Source organism: Homo sapiens, chromosome 16, assembly GCF_000001405.40.
Source record: "Homo sapiens chromosome 16, GRCh38.p14 Primary Assembly".
NCBI lineage: Eukaryota > Metazoa > Chordata > Mammalia > Primates > Hominidae > Homo > Homo sapiens.
The window spans coordinates 88,888,841-88,916,642 of NC_000016.10; the positions used below are offsets into that span (position 1 = coordinate 88,888,841).

At 61.7% G+C, this 27,802-nt stretch overlaps 1 protein-coding gene and 1 long non-coding RNA gene across 8 annotated transcripts in view, besides 5 other annotated features; one reads left to right on the top strand and one right to left on the bottom strand.

The window, feature by feature from the left end:
• Positions 1 to 27,802, bottom strand: part of CBFA2T3 (CBFA2/RUNX1 partner transcriptional co-repressor 3) — a 102,350-nt gene that overhangs the window by 13,983 nt on the left and 60,565 nt on the right. For 3 of the 6 annotated variants that reach the window (XR_007064926.1, NM_005187.6, XM_011523419.4), the window contains exons 2-5: positions 12,664 to 12,816; positions 9,238 to 9,312; positions 3,404 to 3,645; positions 3,042 to 3,131 (exon numbers count right to left, since the gene is read on the bottom strand). Coding sequence is in view for 5 of the 6 variants with exons in the window: in NM_005187.6 (NP_005178.4) it covers positions 3,042 to 3,131; positions 3,404 to 3,645; positions 9,238 to 9,312; positions 12,664 to 12,816 (560 nt within the window). In the remaining variant the exon portion in view is untranslated. The remainder of the gene's footprint in view (positions 1 to 3,041; positions 3,132 to 3,403; positions 3,646 to 9,237; positions 9,313 to 12,663; positions 12,817 to 27,802) is intronic. The other 3 variants (XM_005256323.6, XM_047434826.1, NM_175931.3) reach the window with 1 other exon arrangement.
• Positions 3,375 to 3,875: an enhancer, noted in NCBI's record as "H3K4me1 hESC enhancer chr16:88958623-88959123 (GRCh37/hg19 assembly coordinates)". NCBI's record gives its function as "activates a minimal SCP1, AML or CMV promoter by ChIP-STARR-seq in naive H9 embryonic stem cells {active_cell/tissue: H9 hESC(naive)}" and the evidence as "EXISTENCE:reporter gene assay evidence [ECO:0000049][PMID:30033119]".
• Positions 4,615 to 4,664: an enhancer, noted in NCBI's record as "active region_11374". NCBI's record gives its function as "activates an Ori minimal core promoter by ATAC-STARR-seq in GM12878 lymphoblastoid cells {active_cell/tissue: GM12878}" and the evidence as "EXISTENCE:reporter gene assay evidence [ECO:0000049][PMID:35858748]".
• Positions 13,485 to 14,028: an enhancer, noted in NCBI's record as "H3K4me1 hESC enhancer chr16:88968733-88969276 (GRCh37/hg19 assembly coordinates)". NCBI's record gives its function as "activates a minimal SCP1, AML or CMV promoter by ChIP-STARR-seq in naive H9 embryonic stem cells {active_cell/tissue: H9 hESC(naive)}" and the evidence as "EXISTENCE:reporter gene assay evidence [ECO:0000049][PMID:30033119]".
• On the top strand, positions 14,917 to 19,415 carry LOC102724632 (uncharacterized). Of its 2 annotated transcripts, XR_429796.4 has the most exons (4): positions 14,917 to 16,201; positions 16,652 to 16,789; positions 17,481 to 17,633; positions 18,234 to 19,415. It is a non-coding gene; the product is annotated as an uncharacterized LOC102724632 (long non-coding RNA). The 2 variants fall into 2 exon arrangements; XR_007065182.1 differs by lacking the exon at positions 16,652 to 16,789 and having other exon boundaries at positions 18,234 to 18,459.
• Positions 16,808 to 16,947: a silencer, noted in NCBI's record as "silent region_7884". NCBI's record gives its function as "represses an Ori minimal core promoter by ATAC-STARR-seq in GM12878 lymphoblastoid cells {active_cell/tissue: GM12878}" and the evidence as "EXISTENCE:reporter gene assay evidence [ECO:0000049][PMID:35858748]".
• Positions 24,290 to 24,505: a silencer, noted in NCBI's record as "fragment chr16:88979538-88979753 (GRCh37/hg19 assembly coordinates)". NCBI's record gives its function as "represses an EF-1alpha promoter that drives an FKBP-Casp9 reporter gene in an ReSE screen in HepG2 liver carcinoma cells {active_cell/tissue: HepG2}" and the evidence as "EXISTENCE:reporter gene assay evidence [ECO:0000049][PMID:32094911]".

Genomic DNA, 27,802 nt, shown 5'->3' on the forward strand with positions numbered 1-27,802 from the left:
GCTACCCCACACAGGCCGTGGGATCCCCTGTGTACCAAGGGGAGACTGAGGTGGACACGGCCCTCACGAGAGCCGGGCCGCGGGCGGCACCTGCTGGGGCGTGGCCGGGGGACACCAGGGCCTGACCAGACGTCATGGACAGGGGCCGTAGGCCTGGTGGGGGCAAGGGTGGGGATGCTGCGGCGTTTCTCTGCCTGACCCTGATCCTCAGTTAAGCAAGGGTGGCTGAGGCTGGGGGCATCTGTTGGTAATAAGCAGGCGCACTGTGTCCCCAAAGACTGGGAGGGGTGGAGTCCGCAGCAAGTTAAAAGAAGGGAAGGGAAGGGCCGCTAACGAACTGCAAACGACGCCAGATGGGCCCAGGCTCCTGCCACTCCAGAAGCTTCTCTTTTGTCACCATCTGGGAGCATGAGCACAGCAGGGCGTGGGAGGGGGCGGAGGAAGGCGGGAGGAGGGATGGAGCGATAGAGGAGGGAGGGCAGGAGGAAAGGAGGGGGTGGTGGGAGGGAGGGAGGACTGGGGCAGCGGAGGGAGGGAGGGCAGGAAAAAGCAGAGGAGGCAGGGGCGGGAGGGAGGGAGCGAGGGTGGGAACAGAGGTGGGTGTGATGTGGGGTCCCCTTGGGGAGGGACTGAGGGGAATGAGGGTCTGACCCTGTAAGTGCCCTGGGACGACCAGGGCGTTTGGAATTTGACAGACCTAGGTTTGAGCCCTGGCGCCCTCTCTCCACTACCTGGGGGGAACCCAGAGCCTCAGTTTCCCCACCTGTTAATCAGGAACATGGCAGTGCCTACACTACACCTTGACAGAGGCCAACAGGTCTGTGAGAGACCTTCCTGAAGCACTCCTCCTCCTCCAGGGACGACACCCCGCGATTCCTCCTCCTCCAGGGACACTTCAAATCCCTGGACGACGCCCCGCGATTCCTCCTCCTCCAGGGACGACGCCACGCGATTCCTCCTCCTCCAGGGACACTTCAAATCCCTGGACGATGCCCCGCGATTCCTCCTCCTCCAGGGACACTTCAAATCCCTGGACGACGCCCCGCGATTCCTCCTCCTTCAGGGACGACGCCCCGCGATTCCTCCTCCTCCAGGGACGACGCCGTGCGATTCCTCCTCCTCCAGGGACGACGCCCCGTGATTCCTCCTCCTCCAGGGGACGTTTCAAATCCCTGGACGATGCCCCGCGATTCCTCCTCCTCCAGGGGACGTTTCAAATCCCTGGACGATGCCCCGCGATTCCTCCTCCTCCAGGGGACGTTTCAAATCCCTGGACGATGCCCCGCGTGAATCTAGAACATGCCTCACCTCCCTGTAGTCCCCGCTACCTGGGAGGCTGAGGTGGAAGATTCCCCTGAGCCCGGGAGTGAGGCCCCGTTCTTTCCGCGTGTCCCTCCACGCTGTCTCCTCAACAGCCTGAGGATGATTCCATTTTGCAGATACAGAAACCGAAGCACAGAGGAACTGGCCTCACCCAGGGGCCAACAGCTGCTAAGTGGCAGGCTCGGGCTCAAGCCAGGGAGCATCTGGTCTGGTCTGTCCTCTGGACCCCCGAGGGGAGGCCTGGCCCAGCAGAGATGGAGCCCACAGCAGTACGGGCAGTGCTCAGGCTGGGCCCGAAGGTGTGGCCAGGCTGGCAGCTCCCAACTAAGCTCCACGGAACCCTGACCCCAACACGTGCTCGGCAGAGAAGGTCACATGGTCAGACACATTTGGGGAACCTTTCCTCAGCTCCTGCTAGAGATGTGCAGCCGTCTTGGGGAAATGGAGACCCGCAGAGATGGCAGTCTGACTCCACGGCACTCCCGTGCCCGTCCCGTCTGTGTGTGCGTGGGAATCACTCTCCCATGGGAATCACTGGCTTCATTCATTCATTCATTCATTCATTCGTTCAGAGACAGGGTGTTGCTCTGTCGCCCAGGCTGGAGTGCAGTGGCGTGATCACAGCTCACTGCAGTCTCGACCTCCTGGATTCAAGCAATCCTCCCACCTCAGCCTCCCGGGTAGCTGGGATCATAGGTGCATACAACGCTCAGCTAATTTTTATATTTTTTGTAGAGATGGGGTCTAGCTGTGTTGCCCAGGCTGGTCTTGAACTCCTGGCCTCAAGCAATCCCCGTTCCTCAGACTGGCATCTTTAAAAATGCAGGCTCTGATTCAGCAGGTTTGGGCCGGGCCGAGAGCCTGCAAAGCTGACAAGCCCCGCGTGCTGCCACCCTGGTCCACGGTTGATCTGGGTGTGACCATCTGACCTGCTTTCACCTGACACCTCTTCATCCATCGGCCTGCGCAGCCACAGAAGCCCCTTCCCGCCTGTCTACCGCCCTCACCTCCCGCCCTCACCTCTGCTCTCTCCACCCCACGTATTCTGTTCCAGTCACACTGACCCCTCTGCTGTTCCTCAAGCACAGCGGGCGCCCCATACCTCAGGGCCTCTGCACGTGCAGTTACTGCTGTCTGGAAAACCCTGCGCTGGCTCTGCACCTAGCTCCGCCCTCATCCTCAGCCCTCACCAACACGCCTCCAAGCAAAGGACTTTCGGAATACTTCTCCACCACGTGCAGCTGCAGATTTGAGAGTGGCTGTGGACCGAACGCCTTCCCACCCCAGGGTGCTGGCTCCAGGAGGGACCTGCTGCATGTCCTGGGCCCTATCCCCGAGCCTTGCCCCCACACTGGCACGTCGTCAGTGCTCAAAAATCACCCGTGGAGTGAGCGAGCACATTCGGCCAACGGCAACCAGAGGCGAACCGGACAGCTCTGTCCTGTGCTGGATTTAAGGGCTGATAATCATCCGGTCTGGCAACTAATTTTCAGGCCTTAACTAGTAGGAGTCAACCCTGACTAGTCAGCAGTGCTCCCCTAGGGTACCACAGGGTCCCAGGTTGGCCAAGATCGATGCCTCACACCTCTTCATCCACCTGCCTATCTGGCCACTTAAGCCCCTTCCCGCCTGTCCACCGCTGTCCACGCTGGCAAGGAGTGGGATTAAGGGGCCTTCTAGGGAGGCTCCCGCAGCACGGGGGACGGGTTTCGCATTACCTTCAGGAAGGGAATGACAAACGGCCGCAGAGGGAAGTTGGTGGCCTCCTGAAGCTTGGAATGAAACTCCTCGATCGTCAATGTCGAGTTCTGCAGGGGAGAAAACCCACCTCACATCAGCACCGCTCGGCATGTGAGCCAGCGCCGACCCACCCATGCCTGAGGAGGAGGCTTCCGTGTTGGAGGCAGGCAGGCAGCCCAGGAGCTGGGCACGGCCTGAGAGGGTGCAGGTGGCATCGTGGGAGCGGGTCCACGCCCGGTTGTCAGCGTGGAGCCCATGTAAGGAGTGGCCGTGGCTGCAACCTCATTAAACGGAGGGAATATGCATGTCCCAAGGCCCCGGCTGTCCCTGCCCAACTCACCACCAGGCCCAGCACCAGTGTGCGCACGCGCTCCCCAATCTCTGGGGAGATGTCGCTGCCAAACTGCTGCAGTGTGGTGAGGAAGCGCTTGAGCTTGCTGAGCTGCCGGGCCCCGCAGGCTGGGGGCAGGTGCTGTGTGGACAAGGAGGCTGTGGACGAGGTGGCCGGGCCATTGCTGAAGCCGTTGGGTGTGCACGGTGCACCATTGATGGCTGTTGGTGAGTGGCTGCTGCCGTTCATCACTGCAGGAGGGAAGCGGACATGAGGACACAAAGGTGATGGTGACAACACAACCCAGACGGCGGCGACAGTGAGGGAAGCAGCGACTAAGGTGACAATGTCAAAAGTGACGGCAACAATGATGAGACACAAGGACAGTAGCGCTGAGGATGACAGCAGGAGCCCTGGGCCCGCCCAGGGCAGCTGAGCTGGCCCTTAGCATGCTGACCATCTGTCCTTCCGGCCCTGCTCTGAGAGGTCACACACACCCCCTTACAGACCTGGAAATGGATTCCCAGGGAGGTGAAGCCTCTTTGCCCCAGGTCCCCAATGGGTAAGGGCTGGGATGGCACCCACAATGGTGGTGGCCGTGGAATGACTGCGTTCTGAGTGTGGCTTCTCCTGCCTGGCACCACTCTTGGGACTTGCTCTGGGGCTGAAGTCAGGCCCTTCACACCCAGCAGGGGTGCGGCCCCTACGCCTGGCCTGGGAGACACCAACCCTACCAGGCTGGCTCAGGTTTTCACTGTGAACAGGGAGCAAGGGGCTTCTCCACACGTCGGGGGCTTGATGGCTCACTTCCCACTTTCTGGAGGCACAGGAGACTTGGAAAATGAGAAGTCGCTCATCCCCCGAAAGGCCAGCTACCATCACCTCTGGCATGATGTTCCCAAGCAATACCCCCACCCCCAATCAGGCATCTCCCAGCCCTGAGCAATGTCCCCACAACAGGTGCCTCCCAGCCCTGAGCAATGTGCCTCCCCACACACAGGCGCCTCCCAGCCCTGAGCAATGTGCCTCCCCACACACAGGCGCCTCCCAGCCCTGAGCAATGTGCCCCCCCCGACACACAGGTGCCTCCCAGCCCTGAGCAATATGCGCTGCAGGTGCTTTCCAGCAGAGCAATGTCCCTCCTACAAGTGTCTCCCAGCCCTGAGCAATGTCCCAGACAGGTGACTCCCAGCCATGAGCAATGTCCCAGACAGGTGACTCCCAGCCATGAGCAATGCCTTCATTTGCACACAGCCCCAACGCCTGCTAATGGGGTTCCAGGGGGCAGAGGAGCTGGGACACCCAAGGACACACTGGGTGGGTTCCTGCCCCTGGCGGCTGGACACGCAGATGCCCGTGCACACAGGCCAGTGCATGTTGAGGACAAGCAGGTGACATAAGGAACAGCTGATGAGCGCGCTGCAGGGCCGCCTGTTGGCCACTGAGACGTGACTGCCTGGCTGGCCCTGCTATTGGGGTCAGTGTTCCAGGGGCCTGGCAGACATGGGGCTGCTATGGAAAGTCCCAGGGCCGGGCCTCACCCCTTTTCTCAGGTGACAGAGCTAAGGCCAAGCCTCTTGCAAGGCGGCCAGCGCACCCCTCCTGCGCCTGGGACACCCGCACCCCGTGCCCTTGGCCTCAGGAGCCTGAGGGGCGGCCTCCAGGCTCTGAAGGCAGGTCAGAGGTCACAGGGCTCCCAAGTCCCTTGCTGACAGGGGAGGGGGACTGGATGCCTCTGGGAGGCCTGAAGTCCTGGCCAGCTCCTTCTGTCAGGAGGACTGAAGCCCCGCACACACTCACGGCTGGCTCCCGCCTCCTGCAGAAGGACACGCTCCCTACAAAGGGTACCAACTCCCCTGCCCTCAGAGCGAGCCCTCCATTTCCCTGCCTCCACTCACCCCCCACCACCCTTACACACATGCACGCACACATGCACACACACATGCATACATATACACATGCACACAATGTACACACATGCACGCACACATGCACACACACATGCATACATATACACATGCACACAATGTACACACATGCACGCACACATGCACACACACATGCATACATATACACATGCACACAATGTACACACATGCACGCACACATGCACACACACATGCATACATATACACATGCACACAATGTACACACATGCACACACACATGCACACACACATGCATACATATACACATGCACACAATGTACACACATGCACGCACACATGCATACATATACACATGCACACAATGTACACACATGCACACACACATGCACACACACATGCATACATATACACATGCACACAATGTACACACATGCACACACACATGCACACACACATGCATACATATACACATGCACACAATGTACACACATGCACACACACATGCACGGCTATGATGTACACGCTCGTCTCTCTTGCTCCACTGTGGCCCCAAGTGCCCCTCTCCAGGGGATCCACCCCTCACCCGTGCTGAGAGTGTGGGTCTACGGGTGGGGGGCAGCTCAGAGCCACCTGCTCCCTCAGGGCCGAATTCCTCCGAGGCCCCAGCCGTGTGTTCGCACCTGTGGCTGAGACCTGGCGGGGCCTGTGTGCGCCGAGGAGGAGGGGAAAACCCTTTCTACAGGATGGAGACGCCCCTGGGCTGGGCTGGTGCAGCGGCTCCCCCTGGGCAGCCGGCAGGCACCAGCTGTTTCCTTCCTGTGCCCTGGATGGTGGGGGGTCTTGGTGTACCCTTCAGATCAGGCCAGCCCTGCCCATCCTGACCTGGCCCCTGGGAGGTGACCCCTGCTGAGTGTTGTGGCCTCTGTCTGGACGGGAGGGAACATGGGACGTGGGGACCTACATGCCGGCCCCCCTTTCTGGGCTGCGTCCCCACAGCTGGGGCTCCGGCTAGGCCAGGCCTCCCTTTCTACCCGCTCCTGCAGGCCTGGACTGGAAGGGGCCGCACCCTCCAGAGGGCACTGACCAGCCCGTACCTCCAACAAGGCCCTTCTGAGGGGTCAGGCCCTCTCTAAGTGTCCCTCCAGTAACCTTTAGGTGGCCGCCATCAGCTTCCTCCACTCCGCCTTCCCAGAAGCCGCCTGAGGCTCCCACCTTCCCGACCCGTGGTCTAGTGGCACCTGCGAAGTGCGCCCGGGTCAGGAAGCTGTGCTGTGGCCCGGGCTGGGCTCTACACCTGCACACAGGCTGCGCGGTTATCACACACATCCCATGCGGCAAATGGGCTCCGAGGAACCGAAGACACACAGCAGGGCAGCCCGGCTCCCCCAGATTGCCTCCCGTCCCCGGCAGGCCCCACACACCGAGCAAACAGCGCTGGGCACAGTGGCACAGGGGGGAGGCCGGCCCTGTGCTCTGGATGTTCTTGGTGGAGCGGGGGGAACAGGTGTGCCCACGACTGCCTCCCCCGGGGCCCAGCGCTCACTCTGCTCTCACTCCAGCCTGGGCCTCACAGATACCCACTGCAGGGGCTGTGGGAGGCCAGGAGGGCGGGGGATGCTACAGAGGCCCTCAGACACACCAGCGTGGTGAGGAAGTCCAGACAGACACGGCCCTGCCCTCGAGGGCTGGGGGAAGCTGCCCTGGTTAGGAGTGAGGACCGGCCGCCAGGCCCAGACGTGCCCTGTGAGTCAGACTCGGCGCCTAGCCTCAGTTTCTTCATTTGCAAATGGCTCCCAACCCATCCTGGAGTTCCAAGTGGGGCTCCAGGGACCAGAGGACAGCATGGCAGTGACCTCCTTTGTACTGTGTGTCCCCAGCCAGAGTCGCTCAGGCCTGACCTGGGCTTCCCCAGCCTCTCCTGCGCTGCCCAAGTCAGCCCCCCAGGGTTGCTCCATCCTGACTGGTTTTATGGGTCGGGTGTTGTGTGAGGCTGTTGGCAATAAACAGCCCCCACACCTAGTGGAATTCTGGAAACCACTAATCGCAGGTCAGATATGGCACAAAACCTTGAGTGCACGCGTGGCCTCAGACTTTCCCTACGGGGGGGCTGCAGGATTGAGACATCTCTGTTGCTGGGGCCGCGAACCTCCACACGCTGTTCTGAGCGGCTGCTCCCCTCAACCGGGCAACCTGCACAGGGGGTAGCCTGTCTGCGCCCCTGGCTTGAACGATCTTAGCAGCGCCTTCCTGGGCTCAGGATGGACGCACCGGCCCTCTGGAGCGCGCGGCACCGATAACGGCGTCGTATTCTGGGGCTTTCCCTCTTCTGGGGGGACAGTGGACGCTGACACAGGATGCACCGAGCCCCTGGTCTCTCGCCTTCTGAGCCTCTGTCCGGAGGACCCCACCGCGCTGCCGAGTTTCCCTCTCAATGGTGAGCTCCATGTGGCCACACGGTGGACTGTGACACACACACCCCGTCAAGACTGAGGATAGCCACTTGCGGTCACCCAGCCAGGCCAGGAGATGGCCCGTCACCATGGGAGACCTCACTGCAGCGGGAGGCTGGTTTCTCCAGAACACGAGGGACTGTCGTCAGGACTGTGGACCTTCCAGCAGCTTCTCAGACGCGCCACAGTGCACGCCGGGGCCCCTGCCCACCGCCCCGGCCAGCCTGGGCCTGGCCCTCCCTTAGGTGCGCTTACCAGCCTTGCCCCGGGTGCCTGGTCCTTCCGGCGGCCTGCTCGCCCTCGCCTGCCCGCGCACTCCCTCCCGCGCTGCTGGGCAGTCTCAGCAGCTAAAGAGACGCCAAAAATAACCCCGGCACAAGCGCTTTCATTCCCACGACAGGTGTGTTCCTAAGTTAGACCGCACACGTGTCCCCAGCTGAGGATTGGGGGCACACGCGAGCACCCCCGCGGCTCCCCCAGCCTCAGAGCCTTGGTGGGGGGGTCAGATGCGACAGAGGCACCCTAACGCAGCCCCTCCTGTCACCCCTGCTCCTTGCTGTGGGGGCTCCGGGATCTGGGATTCACCAACTTTGCCATCCATAAGATCACAGAGTGGATGACAAGAGCCACTGTCCAGGAGCTGCACGCCAGGCGCGAGTGCGTGGCCAGGCCCATCACAGAATAATGGCTGTGAAAAGGACAGCCCTGTGCAACAGAAACAACGCACAGTTGTTCTGCTGCCCTCGTTCTTAGAGCCGGGAGTGCCACGACAGCCACACCTGGGCCATGCTGCCAGGCTGGCTGGTAGTGATGGACCGGAGTCTGTCTGATGGGCTCAAGCATGGCTGCACTCAGTGGTTGACAAAAACTATAACCACCACCTGGTAAGAGCCCATGCTCCCTGAACGCCCGCCATGGGCCACGCACGTTGACAGAAACGTCTGCTGGTGACTCAAGTCTGCTGAGCTCTCAGCATGTGCCCGGCCCCACCATCTGACGGCTCCTGGAGATCACCATTGGCACTAGGGGCCATGATGACTTCCATTTTACAGGTGGGGAAACTGAGGCACGGGGGGTGGTACCTGGCCAAGGTCACCCTGGCAGGAACAGTTGCAGCTGGGACTCCAGGTAGGTGGGGTCTGCCCTAGCAATAGCTGAGCTACAGGCTGGCCAGGGACAGTGTCTCGCCCCTCCCCTCGGCACTCGCAGTCAGCCCCATTGGCCATGTTTTGCTGCTGGGGAAGGAGAGCTCAGAGAGGCTCTGCTCCTGCCTAAGGCCCCGCAGCTTGGAGCGGAGGGTCTGTGGGATGCAGCGACCCGGCGGCTCTGCCCTCCTGCGCCCTCTTCTCCCTAAGGAGGCAAGACCAACACAACAGAGGCAATGCTGAGGGTGCGGAGGCCGGGGAGGAGAGCTGAGCGCCCCCAGGGCAGCAGTGTTGGGCCAGCTGAGGATGCTGCGGTGAAGACCTCTGGGGAGGCCTGCGGTTTTTGTTATTTTACTTACAGAGACAGACCATAGACCATTTTAAGCAGCCATGAAAACGGCCGTGGGGCAGCGTCGCAGGCCCGTCCTCTCGATCTGTAAGCAAAATAAGAAGAACACGCTGTCAGGAGGGGCGTGGGCAGGAGACTCTGCCCTCAGGGGCGCCCGCGGCCACCTTTTCCTACTTCTCAGAGTGATTTTTGGTGGGGGCGTGGGCAGGAGACTGCCCTCAGGGGCACCCGGGCCGCCTTTTCTTGCTTCTCAGAGTGATTTTTGATTTTCGGAGGGGCCTGGGCAGGAGACTCTGCCCTCAGGGACGCCCGGGCCGCCGTTTCCTGCTTCTCAGAGTGATTTTCTGACGGGGCTCTGTCACCACCTGGGGCCAGGCCACTCCCCTCTCCGAGCCTCAGTTTCCTTCTCTGAGAGTGGGTGATCCCTAAGGGCCGTTCTGGCAGCACTGTTCCGGAGTTTACAAGAACCGCGGCTTCTCTATGAGCAGGGGCGGGGCCCCTTGTTTTCATCGTCCTCTTCCCAGAAGGCCCCTGTGACCCCATGAGCACCATCCTCAGGGACCTGGGCCGAAGCCGCGTGTCCTAAAAGCGACCTGAGACTCGGCTTGGAGTCTCTGAAACAAAGCCCTGGGTCGGCACTGGAGGAGGAAGCACCAAACAGGAAGAAAGATTCGGCTGGGCTCAGTGGCTCACGCCTGTAATCCCAGCACTTTGGGAGGCTGAGGCGGGAGGATTGCTTGAGCCCAGGAGTTCAAGACCAGCCTGGGCGACGTAGGGAGACCCAAACTCTACTATATAAAAAAAGAAAGAAAGATTGAATTTGTTCGAGCTGAAGTCAGTGGCGCAGGCCACAGGAAGACAGGCTCTAGTAAAGACGGGTAGTGAGTTCTCTGTCATGGGGGTAATCAAGGGCAGGATAAAGCCTTAGCCCTTTAAGCGTCCTCCCAGCTTTAGAGGAGCTTGGTCTGGGTCCCTGCTCCTTATATGCCTTCCCCCTCCCCACCCCCCACCCCACAGCAGCACCGCAGCTTCAACTCCAAGATGAATTTGCGCCCAGGGCTGTCACTGGGCAAGAGAAACTTCGGCCCTCAAGTCTCCGTTCAGACTCAGTCTCCCATCAGCTTGGCTCAGAGGCCAGTCCCCGGGGAGGAGCCTCCCGGCAGGGCTCTGCAACTGAGCTGTGGCCCCTGAAGGGCACCCACCACCCACCAGCCAGGGGCAGGGGTGCGGCCAACCACCTGGCTTTCACGGAATTGTGTGGATTAGGGGATAAATCTGAGGCTACCTCAGGGGTGGCCAGAGCCTCAGACTGATGCTGCTGACAGCCCAGTGGGACTGAAGCATCGGCTTAGAAAAGAAAAAGCACCTGCTTATCTCTTTCATAACCTTCACGCTCCTTAAACCAGCTGGGACCTCACCCCAAAAACATGACCCCAAGGCGGGCTGGGAGTGGAGGGAGCAGGAAGGACCCCAGCCCCAGGCATGCCGGCTGCCCTCACATCCGTTCACAGGTCTCCAGAAGCAGAGCCCGACGCTCTGCTGATCCCAACCCACCTCCAGCCAGGAGCATCAGACCGGCACCTTCCAAGCAGAGGCTGCTGGTCCCCAGGGAAGAGCAGGTGGGGGAGACGCACCCTTGAGGGTCTGGGGAACCAGGCTCAGCCCACGGTGTTTGTCCCTGACAGTGGGGCCTGAGGTTGTCTGTGGAGCGGGTGTTTTAGGCACTGCGCCCATGGCCGGGTCTCCCGTGGTCCGTCCTGAGCGTTTCCTCCCCCGGGGCTGGGGTATACTGCAAATTTAACACAGCAGCGGTCTCCCTCTACCTATGTGGGCTCGGTGTGGTCGCAAGCTGCCTGGTAGAGAGACGGCCCGTGGTTTGTACCAGACCGGAGGGCTCTTCCGAAGAGAGGGAAGGGTGATCCCAGCCCGGCCACATCGCCGTGTGACAAGGACATGTGAGAAAAAGCCCAGCCAGCCTCTCACTAGAAACCGTGGCCAGCTCCGCAGAGCCAGGACCTGCACGCTGGGCCCGCCGTCCCCCAGGACCTGCAAAATCGTGAGTGCGGCGTCCCGACTCTCTGAGGCAGGGCCGGCCCCGCGGGTGCAGGGAGTAGCCGTTAGGCTGTTTGGCTCCTACTGAGTGCCGGGCACATTTCCAGCTGTACCTGCCTCTGGGCGGCACACCTGGGGGCACCCCATTGCTGGGCCACCCCATTCCCCAACCAAGTCGGGAGGCTGACTCGGAGCCAACATCCTACAAACAGGGCCGCAAATCTGCTGCCTGACCGCACAGCCAGTGCTCTCTCCAGATGGAGGGGAGATGATGGCCAAAGCCCTCGGCGGAGCAGGCCCCCAGCCTCAGCGGCAGAGCCAGGGAGGGAGCCAGGCCTGGCCTATAGCCACCCGGTGCTCTGAGGACAGTCGTGACGTAAAGGGACTGAGGAAGCAGCTCTTTCTGGCCCGTCAGGGACCCGGGGCAAGCAGGACGGAAGTCTCAGGCTCCCCGCCCAGAGAGGGGCTTCGTTTGAGTTTCAGAGCCTGGGGAGGGTCCCCCAGGTACGGGGCTTTCTGGCCGCTGCATGTGGAGGTGGTACATGGAGTCTCCCCCCTGCAGACACTGAGATGCACTCCTGAGCCCCCAGCCTTGAGGGACAGGGACGCTGCCACCCCGCCGGCCCAGCAACTGGGCCAAAGAGCACCAATGTCTGTCCTCAAAGCCAAGGCTCTGCGGGTGACTGTGATGAGAACTGGCTGTTCCCTGCCCCACAGCCTCCCAGGGCCCACCATCGGCGGCTCTGTGCGCCAAGCACGGCCAACCCCTTGCCAGGGCCAGCAAGACAAGGCCTGACAGCTTCTTGAGGTCCCACCCTTCCGGCCTCCTGTGCCAAGGCCCCCACCCTGGCCCCCGTGCTCAGCCGGGCTGTGGAGCTCCTGAGATCTGAGCCCCTCCAAGGCCAGAGCTGCCTCTGTGGTCCCTCCACGGGGCCTGTACGCAGGTGACCTGCTGTATGACCCTGCGGAAGCCCCTGACCCCATCCGAGTTCCACGTTCTCTCTGGATGAGCCTGGCATTCCTAGGCCTGCCGGACGAGGCAGGAAGCCTGAGGCACAGCGGCCGGCTTTGACCCATGGCCGGCCCTGGTGAAAGGCCTGTGTGGACTCACCTGGCCCCACCACAGCCCTGGGAGGACCTGCATTGCAGAAGAGGAAGCCCAGGCCCCCCGGAGGGCAAGGACATGACCCGGAGCTACCCAGTGGGAAGCAGGGAAGCTGGGATTTGAACCGGCCAAGCCTGGGCTCTGGGCCACACGAGCTCCTCACACTCAGGGCTCACAGAAGGTGCCCGCTGGCTCCGGGCAGGAAGCTCAGAATTTCAAACAACACAAGGGCCTCCCCTGAAACACCTGGCCCTCGGCTGCCAGGTGGGGGCTACTTACGTGTGTGTGGCGTGAAGGAGGGGGGGCGTGTGGCCCCCTGGGATGCGGCAGGCGGTGGGGGCGGCATGCTGGGGGGTGTGGACCGGGGCTGCGTCTTCACCTCCGCTGGGGAGTCCGGCATCGCTGAGGCCTTAGCTTTCCTGTCCACTGGGGCTGCGACCAACGGAGAAAGAAAGAGTCGGTGAAGCAGGCTAAGTGCAAAGGCCAGGGCCCGCAGCCCCACGGTTCCCAGCGAAGGCCCCACTGAGTGTCCGCCCAGCGCTGGGGCAGTCTGCCCCAGGTGTCCTGACAGGTGGCTGACGTCCCACGTGCAGGATCACGGGGGCAGAACCAGGCCGGAGGACGGGCTTGGGCCAGCTCATCTGAGGTGGCCGGCCAGGCTGGAGCTGGGGCCCTCGGTGTGTGGCCGCCCTGCGAGAGCCGTGCCCCACTCCAGGCTTGAGGCTTCTACAGACCAGGGAGTGGGCAGTGCCCCGAGGCAGCGGTGCCTTGCTCCCACCTCCATGAGCATCCCCCGGGGGGTGTTCAGACAGACCTCAGCCTCTTCCCCCAGTCCTGATTCAGCAGGTCAGGCTGAGACCCAGAATTTGCATTTCCGGCATGTTCCCAGGTGGCGCTGCTGCTGGTCTGGCCCTGGAAGCCATGGTTCTAAGAGTCCCTTCCACTTTCAGATGCTAGAAGGCTCCCCTGGGCTGGGGGGCGGGGGACGGTGTCTGCCCAGGGAGAGGCCGGCAGGCAGGCCATTTAGGGCGGCAAAACCTCTATTTTAACCGTCTTCTGCCCCGGTGATTCACAGGACAGCCAAGACAGAGGCGGCATTGACTTCAGGATGGCCGAGGCCTGGCTGCGCTGGGCGCAGCCCCCGGCAGGTGGTAACGCCAGGACACGTGATTAATGAGAACCTGCAGCTGAACAAGATTCCCTCGTGGTCTGAGGCTCCCTGAAGTCTGAGAAGCTCCACCCAGGGCCAGCTGTGTCCGGAGACGGCAGGAAAACGCTCAAGGCGCTGGTGGGCCGGGACTGGGGGGCACGGAGCCCCCTTGTGCCACCCAGAGAGCAGGACCTGCAGACAAGGTTAACCGAAGGGCCTGCAGCACAGACGTGCCCGAGACACCAGGAGGCCAAGCCAGCACCCTGTCTGCGGCATTTTCTGCAGGGGGTGCGGGTGTAAGCCCCAGGGCCTCCCCATTTATCTTAAGGCAAGGTCAGCCAGTGCCAAAGCAAGGCAGAAAGACCTGCTATCCGTGGCTGAGACTTCGGGGGCCTCAGCGGCTTAGAGCAGCAAGGTAGGCATCCTCAATCTGCTGAATACCGGACTGCCCCGCACCCTGCTCCTGCTGACACCTGTGGGTCTCACCCACGACTGCCCCGCACCCTGCTCCTGCTGACACCTGTGGGTCTCACCCACGACTGCCCCGCACCCTCCTCCTGTTAACACCTGTGGGTCTCACCCACGACTGCCCTGCACCCTCCTCCTGTTAACACCTATGGGTCTCACCCACAGCCTGGGGCATGAAACAGGTGAGGCCACAGTTGGGGGCTGGTATCTGTCGTGTTATTAGTCAACTGTGGGCGCTGCCCCTGCTTCTGCCCGTTCCCCATTCCCGGGGCCCCAGCACCATCGTCAGACGGAGAGATCCACCCAGGGCCACGGCCACGCGGACTCTGTGGAAGGTGACGGATAAATGACTTCTACAGCGATCACATGCCAAATACGGCACAAACCTCTGCTGATCCTCTTGCCGCCGGCTCCTTTTACAGAGAGGCAGAGAGGTTCAGAGGTGCTGAGGTCCTGCCCAACATCTCAGGGCAGTGGCGCCTGGGCTCTAACCGGCCCCTGGTGCTCCAGGCAGGAGTGGAGCAGTCCCCCTCTGCTGGGCCTGTGGGGAGTGGTGGGGGGAGGAAGCAGCCAGTAAACAGCCACAGGCCTCGCGGCACCTGCTGTCCCCTCCGCACAGCCGCTGACCTCCCTCGCACAGGGCGCCCTGCTCCTCCTGGCCACCCGCCTGTCCGGAGGCTGATGGCTGGGCACACGTGTGGCCACAGCTGTGGGGGCCATCAACACCGCCTGGCTGCAGGGCCGGTGGCCAGTCCCTGGTGACAACCAAAGAAGGTGAATGTGGCAGGGTGTTCCTGTGGTGGGGGTGTTCCCGGCTGGGGGGGGGGGCGTTCCTGGGGGGGCATTCCTGGGGGGGGCGTTCCTGGTGGGGGCAGCCCTTCCAGACCAGGCTGCCCTTGGGCCAGCGTGGGTTGGGCATGCCCAGAAGGGAGCAGGCAGGGATGTGGCCGAGAGCTTCAAACGCCAGGCTGGCTCGGGGGACACAGGTCCAGGACACTGGGGATGCCCCCTGTTTGGACTTTCCAAAGCCCTCCCATGGAGGCGGCTACATTTGAGCCACGAGACTTGAATAAAACAGAAGTGGATGCAGAGAGCCCCACTGGGGAGCTGGTGCCGGGCGCTGGACGGGCGCTCGTAGGATGGACGGACATGCCACATTTCCTAAGGTGGAGAGGGTGGCCAGGAGACCGCTGGGCCGTCATGCCACGGCGCAAGGAGTCACCACAGCCGTCACCCAACAAGGGCTCATGGCCACCACCTGCGTGCTCACGGCCACCACCTGCGTGCTCGTGACACTCTGGATCCCGAAGCTAGAGCAGACAGTGCCCTGCCGGCGCCCTGAGCAGTCGGGGACTTCATGTGGTTCCCTTTGGGCAGAACAGGAGGCTGTCCCTTTACTTCAGAGGCCTGGACAGAGGCTCACTGCAGGAAGATCCTTCTCGGTGCTCTGCAGATATCGACGACTCATTGCATCCTCACCGAGACCCTCTGCGGCTGATGCTGCCATCAGCCCATTTTACTAGGACGGACCAGGCTCGGAGAGATGAAGTCATCTACCCAAGGTCACACCGCGAGTGTGCTGCGGGCCGGGATCGGAACCACGACCTGGTGTTGCCCCCACAGGGCCAGGACTCGGCAGGACTCCAAAGTCTCCGCTTGTCATCAACACGCTTGCCTCCTTTTAGGCCTCAAGGTACTTGCAAAGAGGCAGCAGGTCTGGGATTCAAACCTGAGGCCGAACGGAGGCTGCAGGGGCAGGAGGCCCCGTGCCTGAGGAACACCCTGGGAGCTGGTGGTGTCCTCCCCTCCGTTCTCCAGGCCCCACCCCGGGTTGTGCGGGGGCAGCTGTGCAGGAGATGGGACCTTTCCGGGCCCCACCCCGGATTGTGCGGGGGCAGCTGTGCAGGTGATGGGACCTCACGGGTGTCTGTTGAATCCTGTGTGAGTGCTCCTGGCTGTGTGGCCTAGGGAGAGCCTCTTCCCCTCTCTGAGCCTCACTTTCCTTCCTCTGTACATGTGGAGGAAGCCAGGTGACAGGAAGATGACGCGGAGTTCCCCACGCCCTGCCTTGGCAAGCAAGGAAACCAGGCCAAGGCTCATGGAGCAACGTGTGGCCGGGACCTGCTCCTGGCGCTGCCCCTGGCACAGACTCTACCCGAGAAAGCAGAAAGTGACAAGGACCCTCAGAGAAGATGAGGGGTGAGTGTGGAAAGGTAGAGGAACAGCATTTGTGGCCAAGAGAACAGCCTAGGAGTTGGCCAGGACCTGTGGAGGGACCTGGGAAGGAGGGGGGTGGGGGAGTGGGCAGCGGGGAGTCTGGAGCTCTGCACAGCAGCAGCTGGCGCCGTCTCTGGGGCGGGCACATCGTCTCTCTCCTGCTTAATACCCTTCAGCAGCTTCCACTGTACATGGGGCTTCACCAGCCCACACCCACTCCATGACACCCATCTCCCTGCTCTCCCCCAGTGCGGGGCTCAGGGCCATGCACGACCCCCCACCGCCCCTCGTTCCCTCTGGGATTCAGCTTCAACCTCACTTCCCCAGGAGAGGCTGCCCCGCCCCCGTGAAGCTCTTCCATCCTTCCCTGTTCAGTCCTCAGGATGTCACCCCACACTGGGCGGTCCTGCCTCTTGTTTGACCTGTTTGCAGGGTCTCTGTGCTTGACTGGGCCCCCCAGGATGCAGCTCGCCCAGGGTAGCCTTCAAAGGAAGGCCCCCAGAGGAAATGCCTCTTTGGGTTCCCCCAGCCCCCGCTTAGGGGCTGGAGGAGAGCAAAGATGGAAGTGGGGTGAGTGGAGCGCCATGATCAGGGCGGGCCTGAGGGGAGGTGGGGCTGAAGGAGGGGCGGGGCTGAAGGAGGGGCGGGGCTGGAGGGGCGGGGCTGAAGGAGGGGCGGGACTGGAGGGGCGGGGCTGAAGGACGGTGGGGATGAGGGGGCGGGGCTGAGAGCTAGTCTGCGGCAGGTGGGAGGGGCTGGGCTGCCCAGCTGCAGGACAGGTGCTTTCTGCAGACATGGGGGGCTGGTTGCTCAGGGCAGGAGACCCATGGCTGCCCTGGACACCCATTTCCTTGGCGCTGGCTGGGCAGGGAGGCACCGTGGGTCCACCCCACAGCCACAGCAGGAGGCTGAGTCCTGCCGGCCTGGCTTCCTCGGGCAAGCCACAGCCTCTCTGTCCATTTCCTTGCCTCTTCAAAGGGGATGGAGATGAGGCCGTGCGCAGCAGGGGGGTCCAGCACTCTCCGCCATCACTCGAAATGGTGGCTATTATTATCCTCCTCTATCCCTGCACCCCCAAGCAGTGTGGGGAGTCTCTGGAGCTCCCACCGGCCCACAGCTCCACCAAGGCCAACTGCAGGCTCCTCTCCAGGCTAAGACACCGCTAGACAGGGGCAGCCTCGTCCTTCCTAGGTGCCTGGCTTCCCACCCCATTCCCCTTTGAGGCCCTGCACCTCGGCCACAGGCCATTTCTACTCCGCAGACCCACTTCGAGGCTCGGAGGCCCCGTGGGCTACCAGCCCACGGCTGCGAACCACACAGGAAGAGGCCTGGCCGCATCCCCTCGTCCCCAAGACCACTTGCTGACCCTGCTCCCCGCTCCAGCCGCAAGACGGCCCCGTCCAGACACACGGAGGTGAATAAGTCATCAAACCACTTGGAAAAATAAAATCGCACAGAGCTTCACAGTAGACACCAGTGTCCTGGTGCAATGGCCCTGAGGCAACCCCGGGGGCTCAGCAGCGCCAGAAAGGGGACCGTCTCTGTCTCAAGGCAGAATAGAGAAGTGGCAGGAAGGGCTAATGTCACGGAGGAACCTGGTGCCCCAGGCCTATTCTCAGCACCGTCTACCCGCTGCCCCATGAGGCGGGCCCTGTCACTACGCCCACTTTCTAGACGGGGAAACTGAGGCCCAGAGAGGGTGAGTGACTTGTTCTGGGTCTCAGAGCCCAGAAGCACCAGGGCATGTGCCTGCAGCCCCCAGGAGATTAAACGGTCCCGATGCCAGCCAGCCTGGACCCTGACTCAGCCTTGCTGGGACAGCCCAGGCATCCAGCCCCACGCTGGGACACGCGGCCCTGTGGGTGTCACATAGGCCGAAGGGACGCTGGCTCGTACTGGAGGCTGGGGTGGGTGGCCCGTCACCATACAGGGTCTGGGGTAGCACCTGGGGTGGCCGGCTCTGAGGCATGAGCGGAAGGACCATCTTTCAAACCCCAAGGGGTTTTCTTTCCAGAGCTCGAAGTGCCCATGAAAGAGAAACGAGGCCTCCAGCATCCCTGAACTCTACATCAGCTGCAAGGGGACCCCGGTCCCCGAGGACACCCACATGTATTTTCAAACAGCTCCCGAGGCCCAGCGCTGCCCGTGCAGAAGAAAGCATGGAATTTGGGGAGGGCTCCCGAGGCCTGGCCGCCCAGCACAAGGGGGTCCCTGGGGCACCTGCTGTCCCCACCCTGGCTATCCTCCTGTGGCCTACACAAGTATCCTAACCCCTCCCTGGCTCAGAACAGCACTGAGGTCCTCCTGCTGGGGTGGGTGGGGTCAGTCTGGGTCCCAGTCCCTTCCCTATGGCCCTGGCTCAGAGGCAGGTGGGCAGCGGGTGCGGAATCTGACGAGAAGGGCTCTGACGCCCGGAGGGGAGGAATCTCATACAGAGGACCAACTCTGTCCTCACGGATTCTTCCGCGGCCCTGAGATCCTGCGCTTCTCTATCTTACGAGTGGGGAAACAGAGGCACAGAGAGGCTGAGGAGGGGGAGAGCCAGGTGTGGATCCAGGTGACCTGGCCCAGCTACCCCTTCCCCACTGGCCACAGAGGGCACCTGCAGCCTGGGAACCCCGAGGGGAGGCACCTGCCCTCCTGGCCTCCCTCTGTGGCTTGGGCCTCTGCCAAGTGTCCTTCTCACTCCCCCTGCCCATGACTGACGGTGGCATCTTCTAATTGTCCCCTCACCCCAGAGCAGGGGCTTTGCCTGTCCTTCCCACCCTCGATGGCTCAGGCACTGGCTCTGGACACAGTGCGCCCCTCTCTGGGCATGCCTGAGTCTGCCCTGATGTTGGGTTTCCCTCTATGCGGTTTTCCCCAAAGGGTCTGGGCATGCAGGAACTGGTCAGATGTCTAAAGGAAGAGGACAGGGAGAGAGTGCCAGTTCCTCCCCCAGCCCTGGCTGCAGCCTCATCTGCCTCCCAAGCTCCCACTCATCAAGAAAGTTCCCAGACCTGCCAGACGTGGTGACTCACACCTGTCATCCCAGCACTTTGGGAGGCCAAGGTAGGCAAACCACTTGAGGTCAGGAGTTCAGGATCAGCCTGGCCAACATGGTGAAACCCCGTCTCTACTAAAAATGCAAAAATTAGCCGAGCGTAGTGGTGCGTGCCTATAATCCCAGCTACTTAGGAGGCTGAGGCCGGAGAATTACTTCAGCCTGGAAGGCAGAGGTTGCCATGAGCCGAATTCGTGCCACCGCACTCCAGCCTGGACAACGGAGCGAGACTCTGTTTCAAAAAAAAAAAAAAGGAAAAGAAAAAGAAAATTCCCAGACCCTGGAGGCCGCTCCCCGGGGCCCATGGGAGAGGCCGTTTCTTTCCCAGACGGCACATCCAGTTCCCAGCAAAATGTCACTAACGGGCCGGGAGAGGAAGCCGCTTTGCAGGTTGGGCAGAGCCAGTGGGAAAGAGCCTGCAATGTGCCGGGGCCGCTCATCCATCACTTCCCCGTCCGTGGGGGCACCCAGCCCGCCCTGCCCAGCTGGGAAACAGCCACAGCCCAGGGCTCCCAGCCTGGGAGTTCCAGAACTCTCCATGGAAGGAGGACCCATGGACACCAGTGCAAGAGCTCATCTTTCCGGCCTTCCCCGCCTCGTACCCTCGCCAGCTCTGGAGTAACAAGCCCTGCTTCCGCTGTAACCTTCTTTGACCCCTCACAAAAGCCTTGGGGCATAGGACGCTGGGCAGGTAACGCAGGTGACCTGTCTTGAGGCCTTTGCACAGGCAACATAGCCACGGTGATGACGTCCTACTGCGTGCCAGGCCTGACCTGAGCATTTTGTGCAGAACACCTCATTTCGTGCCCCCGAAAGTCTAGAGGCTGTCAGGTGGGGAAACTGAGGCACGGGCCCTGGGCACCTGGCTCTGGATCCGATCCTCTCCGTGGGTTTGGAATATGCTCCCGGGGAGCGGGGGGCACCGGCTCTGCCCTTCCTGGAGCTGACCACAGGCCCCAGGCAGGGGAGGAGGAGGGCATGGCCTGCAACCAACCCGAGGGCTCCAGGCCTCTCCTGTTACTCCAGCCGAACCCTCATCCCAGGATGCCCCAAAGTCCAGCCTCAGAGGCCCAGCAAGGCCTCTTGCAAAGCCTTTTCTGGGGCTGTGGTGCAGGCAGGGCTCGGAGATGCTCAGGACAGGTCCAGGACGGGCTCTGGACCCAGAACAGTGCTGTGCCTCAGTTGGCCCCTCCATAAAAGTGCAGAATTAAGGGGATGAGCTCAGGCTCCGGGCCCTGCAACCTGGGTGGGCAGCCTCAGTGTCCACATCTGTGCAATGGGGGTGAGGGTTGACATGAATGCACGCGTGGCAGTCACTGGCAAATCCCAGGCAACCCCAGCGGCGGCTGGGACGGAGGACACCACTACATCCCGGGTGACCCCGACGGCAGCTGGGACGGAGGACGCCACTGCAACCCGGGTGACCATGACGGCAGCTGGGACAGAAGACGCCACTGCAACCCGGGTGACCATCACGGCGGCTGGGACGGAGGACGCCACTGCTTTAAACAGCTGTTTATTTTCCTTCAGAATCACACGGTCCCACAGCTTCCTCTGGGAAAGGCACAGATGTGCAAAGAGGAGACCCCGAGAGTCATCCGTCCACGGCCGCCCTCCCGCCTCCTCACAGCCCCGGAGATGGACGACCCCGCACCCACGCTGCCCCTGAGAGGTGAGGTCATCTGAGGTCACTGGCCACGGCCGTGCAGTGAGTGAGGGGCTGAGCCAGGAATGGAGCCCCAGCCTCTGAACTCCAGCCTCTACTTGGCCGGGCAGCCGTCCAGTGCAGTAAACCCAGGCCAAGGTAAACCCGTACACTTGGATTTCTGGGGAACCAGAGGGACGAGCCACCCTCCAACACATTTCCCAAGAGCTGTCCACGGCGGCTCCCACGGCGGCTCCCCAGCTGCTTGGCCAGTGCCACAGTGGCCCGGCTGTTCCTCGCTTGGTGCCTGGCTGTCCCCTCTGGCCTCACCAGCTGTCCCCTCTGGCCTAACCACACGCACTACCCCACACCCGCCTGTGCTGTGCCTCGGTCACTCGCCGCACTTGCCCCAGGGCCTTTGCATGGCGGTGTTTCTGCAGGGAATGCACTTCCACCAGGTCCCCGCAAGTCTGCCTCTCATCCTCACACCTTTGCTGCAGGCTGCCTCCTTCCCGGTGATGCTGCAGCCCGCGCGGCCCTTCACCCTGGCTCCCCTCCTGTCACCGGCTCTCCCTGTAGCTCTGCTGGTGAGCCCACCCGCCTGTCCTGCTCCTTCTCTTCTCTTGTGGATGCTCCCCGTGAGCTCCAGGAGGGCTGGGCTTCCTCTACAGCCTACAACAGTGCCGGCCACACTGCAGGCATTCAGCAAACACTTGCTGCGTGGTGACTGAGAAAACCTGGAAAGGCACAGCCCACTGAGGACCGGACACTCCCAGCCTCAGTGTCCTCCGGAGCCACCGTCATCTGAAGGCGTGGGGACAGGCAGTGCCCTCCCACCTCAGGAAGAGCTGTGGGGTGAGCTGCGGATGGCGTGAGCAGTGCAGGGCGGCCCTCGCAGCGGGGTCTCTGTGCCACTCTCTGGTGCCCCTGAGGGGCATGTGAAACAGAGGAGAACCTGGTGCTGACTCCGGGAAGGGCCCTGAGAAGGTCTTTGACCAGCATCAGACCTGGGGCTCCCAGGCCAAGATAGAGGCAAAGTGAAGGGACGTGGGGCCCCTTCTTGGCAGGCTCTAGGACAGTGGGTGTCCCCCCAAATCCCCTCGTATCCAGATGACCAGGAGGCGGCTCCCTCCCCTGCCCCCAGCCCCCAGCCTCCAGGGCTGTGCCAAGTGTGGGGATCTGGGGTGGGCAGAGGCGGCCTGAGAGCCTCAGGCGCTGCCCTGCGGCCGCCTCCACATCTGGCTTGTATCCAGCCTTCCTGCCTGGCGAATAAGCAGCCATATAAACACGGGGAGCAGTGCCTTCTCTGCCATCGGTCTAGGCAGACCCTCCCGCCCCCACAGGGACAAGGAGCCAAGTCCTATTTCTCTCCCAGGCCCTTCCAGGTCCTCATGGGCCTGACCCAGGGCGGACCCTTCCTCTGGCCCCACTCACTCACTCCTGCTGCCCTTCCCGCCGTGGACAGGAACAAGGGACCCTGACCCCAAGGCCTGTGGGTGATGACGATGGACGGCACGGGGTTGCCATGGCAACAGAGCGGGGCCAGGTGGCAGGAAACCCAGTTCGCCTCCCGCGCCGCTGTGTGAACTGACTGTGAACTCGGGGTGGGGGCCGTCCCCAAATGTGTATGAGTCTCTGGCTCCCCTTGGGTAAGATGCAGTGCCTCTTTGGGTGGGGTCACAGCAAACAAAAAGGCTTTCGTAAACTCAAAAGCCCTCTGTGGCCCTGCCACGGGGACGTCATCTCTGGCGATCTGAAGGACAGGGGCAGGGAGGGAACGGGAACCTCAGGCGCCCTCTCCCTGCAGGAACGGAGTTGGCTTTTCCGTCTCCTAATCTGGCCTCAGTTTTCTCATCTGTAAAATGGGAATGGGGATGGAATTCCCGCAGAATCACGGAGGGACGAAGTACATGAGCTCACGAAAAGCGTCTAGAACAGAGCGCCTGGCCGCTCGCCCTGGCCACCCAGCTGTCATGCTTCGGGCTATCTGTCCGGCCACAACGGCCGCGTGGAGCTGGTGCAGGTGGGGCTTGTCTTTGGCACTGTGCCCAGAGCTGGCCCATAGGTGACACTGAGCATCAGTGTTGGGGAAGGGGACCCATCGGAGAGCCTCTGGGGCACAGTGAAGACCCCCCCTCCTGCCTCGCAGCTGTGTGGGGGAAGCTCTGTTGCCCAGAGTTGGCTGGCAGGGCCCAGACTGCCCACCGGCTGCCATCACCAACACGAACAGGTACCCAGGGCATGCCTTCAGCCGGCCTGGGTGCAGAGGTCCCGTCTGTCACAGAAGTGCTGCTGAACCGTAGCAGACGAAAATCTCACAAACTCCCTCCGGGCCCCGGCCCAGGGCTTCCCGTTGGAAGGTGCACAGGCCGGCCTCTGCCTGCAGGCTGGGCCCACCCGCGCCTCCCCAACCCACTACGTGGCTCCAGGCGGACCTGGCCTTGCCTCTTCCTTTCCCAAGGAGAGAAGAAAGCCTCCCTCATGGGTTTTTGAGGACCAAGAAGGCTCTCTGGATAGCTGCACCCTGCAAGTGAACCCAGGGCTCGCCAAAGAAATGCGGAAGATGGGACAAAGTGTGCTGTGCGTCCTGGGGCCAGATGGGGACAGATGGGCTGGGGGTCTCTCCGTCAGTCTTGGCCAGCCACGCCAGCTGTGCTTCTGTCCCTCCCGTTGGCCTCAGGGCCTTGGCTCCTACTGGAATACTTCCCTCGATCTCTGCATAGCCGTCTCCTCATCATTCAGGTCTTGGCGCAAATGTCCCTCCTCAGAGAAGCCTTCCCTGACCGCCCATGTCCCTGCCCCCACGCTCTCTGCCCCATCACCCATTTTTCTTCTCCAGCCACTCGTCAATGTCTGAAGCCTCCGTCTGTGTTGGTCCTCGTGTTTACGCCCGTCTCCCCCAGGGCAGGGCCCTGAACAGCACCTGGCACACGGCAGGGCCCCGTAAAGGTTTGCTGACTGGCGCATAAGGACAAAGCCCCCTATCTGCCTCCCCTGGCAGCCCTGTCCTCTGCAGGTTCAACGGGGCGGCTCGCTGCTGCAGGACAGAGCCTGGGCTGGGCTTGAATCGAGGCCTGTCCCCTCTGCCGTGTGAGCCCAGCAGGCAGCTCCCCTCATCCATTAAGTGGGAGGAACACACCTCCCGGGGGTGCGTCTGAGGAATAAGGAGCTAATTGAGTCTGTCCTGCAGCAGGAGGCCAGGGAATGCCGGTCATGGCTATTCAGGGCCCTCTCCCCCAAGGCGCGTTTCCTGCTAATGGCCTCGATTTCCCACCCTGCCAAAGCCCCTGCCCTTTCGATGGGATTGCAGCTCTTCCAGTGCAGAGGCGGGGTCCACTTCCCTGCCCCCTGGATCTGGGCTGGCCGGGGGACTTGCTTTGGCTGGGGGCAGGATGTGGCACAAGGGATGTCAGATGACCCTGAGCCTGGACGTCAGCGGCGGGCAGCCCCACTAGCCCTCTGTGGAGCCCCCACGTGAACACGCCCAAGATGAGACACACGCAGGACAGGGTTGGCCCGGCCACTTGGTGGAGCTGGACTGACCGTGGCTGACCACGGACCAGCCAGCAAACCCAGCCACGCCCAGAAGAACCACCCCCCTGAGCTTGCCAAAACTGCCAACCTAAAGAACTGTGAGCCAAAGAAGGGTGGTTGCTTTGAGCCACTGTTTGAGGGTAGCTTGTTACATGGCGATAGCTGACTGATACACTTTGGTACTTAGAATCTCAACATATCAGAGCTGCAAGGGACCTGAGAGACAATCAAATTTCACAGCTGGTGAGAGGGAGGCTGGGAAGCTGGAGAAGAGAAGTGACCCATCTTGTCTCTAGCCGAACCAGGCCTCAGATGCCAATGCTGCACTTGCCCTCCGCTACTCCACACCTCATTCCTCCGTGGGGGGGTCTCAGCCGGGACCAGCAATTCCACCTTCAGGAATGCATTCTCAGGACATGTGCACAAACAGTGATCTACAAGGATGTTTGTCACAGCATCGTTTATGAGAATGACAAACGGAATAAATACGATGACTCCTCAGAGAGGGCTGGGTAGATAAATTATCTACTCGACACAAAACTAAGGAACCTGAAAATCACACCGTGGCCACCTTCATTTTGGAAAGCTGTTTGTTGGTATCTGCTGACTGGAACAGTCACAGCTGCTGGAATAGCCGGCTCACTCCTGGGCACAGAACCTGCAGAAGAGCCAACCCACAGACACAGGTGCCTCCAGAGCAACAAGCCACAGCTGCACCGGCCACTTCCTCAGCAAGCGTGCACCGAGGTAGAGGGACACGAGGCTGCAGCACGGCCATACAATGGAATACAATACAGCAAGGAAAAAGGACAGGCCCACCAAGTACAACACTGCACACGGTCTCACAAATGTACAGCACTGCAAGCGGTCTCTCACAAACGCGGTGGCCAGGCCCCGCAGAGCATGGGATGCGAGAGTCCGTTTCTAGAAAATTCAGAATCAGGCAGCAACACTCTGTGATGCTAGAGGTCAGGAATGGTGGCCACCCTGACAGCGCAGTGACCAGAGGGGGATCGGAGGCCTTGGGGACAGGTCGGAAAACGTTTGTCAGGCCCATAGCCGTGTGCACGTGATGCTTTGTGGTGCACACTTCTGTGTGCAGTGCTGCGAGCATACATTTAATTGCAAAAATGATGTCACGGGACGCTCTCTATTGACATCCCCTATGAGTGAACATCAACAAGGCGACAAAGCATGAGGTTCTATTTTGGAAATAAAAACACGCACAGAAAGACGACTAGACCAAAAATGTGATCGTGGTTGCCGGGCAGGACGCTGTCGCAGCCATCACAGTCTTGCCATGTTTTTAAAGCGACCAGGGTGAGTCTGGGCCTGTCCTCTGGCTTAAGCCCAGAGCCCCTAGCCATCAAAGGTGCCATCAAAGGTGCCCTGACCCTCTGCCCTGCACCCTGTGGACAGTGCCCAGGGCCTGGTCTTCTACAGCACCCTGCCGGTTGAGCAAAGCCTGGAAAGGCTGGGGGAGAGTGGTGAGCTCAGAGGCTGGAGTGAAAAATCTTCCCTGCTCCCCAAAGGGCCGCAAATGGGACCCAGATGTCTGGGGCCTGCTTGCCCCGTGGCCGCACACAAAGGAAGCACATTCCTTGCCCAGCTGCTAGAGCTGCGCTGCCAACAGCAACTCCCTGAGCGCCCTGGGGGAGGTGGCCCCACAATCTGGGCCGCCCGCTGCCGGGGCGGGGTGGGGGTGGGGGTGTGGCTGCCAGCCGGGGGCAGGGGTGGAGGGAGGAAGGGGCGCTGTCCTTACCCAGCACTGGCCCTGGCACCCTGGGAGTCCTGGGGGTAGCGGGTCCCTTCTCTTGTCTCCATGCCCCCAAGCCACCAAGGGAGGCAGCCGAATTGCAGACAAGCAAGCTTCCGTTGAGGATCCGTGTGCTGGGGGTGCCGCCAGGTGGTGGCGTGGGTGTGGGGTGGGGAGGAGGCGTGGGTGTGGGGTGGGGAGGAGATGGGGCTGGGGGGCCTATGGGTGGGTCGCGGGGTGGGGAAACTGGTGGGTGGTGGCCTCCTGCTCTGGGTCTGCCTATCTGAGTGAATTCTCCAGTCTGATCTCAACTCAGAGGAGGGACAGCTCCTTCAGGAGCTCCACAAGCAGCATGGAGGGGGGAGCGTGGAGGGGGGAGCGTGGACGGGGGCAGCGTGGAGGAGTGGAACGTGGAGGAGGGGAGAGTGGAGGGGGCAGCATGGACGGGGGCAGCATGGACGGGGAGAGCGTGGACGGGGGGAGTGTGGAGGGGGAGCGTGGAGGGGGAGCGTGGACAGGGGGAGAGTGGACGGGGGAGCGTGGACGGGGGGAGCGTGGAGGGGGGAGCGTAGAGGGGAGCGTGGAGGGGGGAGTGTGGAGGAGGAGCGTGGAGGGGGAGCGTGGACGGGGGAGTGTGGAGGGGGAGCGTCGACGGGGGAGCGTGGACGGGGGGAGCGTGGAGGGGGAGCGTGGAAGGGGGAGCGTGGGGGGGGAGTGTTAAGGGGGAAGTGCAGAGAACGAGCAGACACGTGGGCTAGACACAGGGTGGGCGGGCGCCCTGGTGGGCTGTGTGGCTGGTCACCTCAGTCAGAATCTCGCCCTCTCTGGGCCACTCCCTGCCACCTTCCCCTCTCAGGAGCGTCACGGTGCCCTCTATCCATTAGGCATGTGTGCGTGTGAGTGTGCATGCATGAGTGTACGTGGGTGCATGGGTCTGTATTCATGTGTGTCCATGGGTGCCTGTGTGCATGGGTGTGTGTCCGTGTGTATATGTGTGCACTCGTGTACACATGGGTGTATGTGTGCATGTGTATTCATGCATGTGTGTATTCATGTGTGTGCATGGGTGTGTGTCCGTGTATGTGTGCACTCACGTGTACATGTGGGTGTGTGTGCATGTGTATTCATGCGTGTATTCATGTGTGCGCATGGGTGTGTGTCCGTGTACATGCACTTACATATACATGTGGGTGTGTGTATTCATGTGTGTATTCATGCGTGTGCATGGCTGTGTCTGTGTATATGCACTTACATATACATGTGGGTGTATGCGTGTGTATTCATGCGTGTATTCATGTGTGTGCATGGGTGTGTGTCCGTGTATATGCACTTACACATACATGGGGGTGTATGTATTCATATGCGTATTCATGCGTGTGCATGGCTGTGTCCGTGTGTGTGTGCACTCACGTGCACATGTGGGTGTATGTGTGCGTGTGTATTCCTGTGTGTATTCGTGGGGTGGGTGTTGCGTGTGCATGTTGTCTGGTAAGGGCTGTGTGACCTCAGGGATGGCTGCAGAACACTCCGGCCTGAGTGAAAGGTGGTCTGATCTGCAGACAGAGCTTCTCTGGAAGGAAGAAGGGCGGCCCCTGGGGAGAGGTG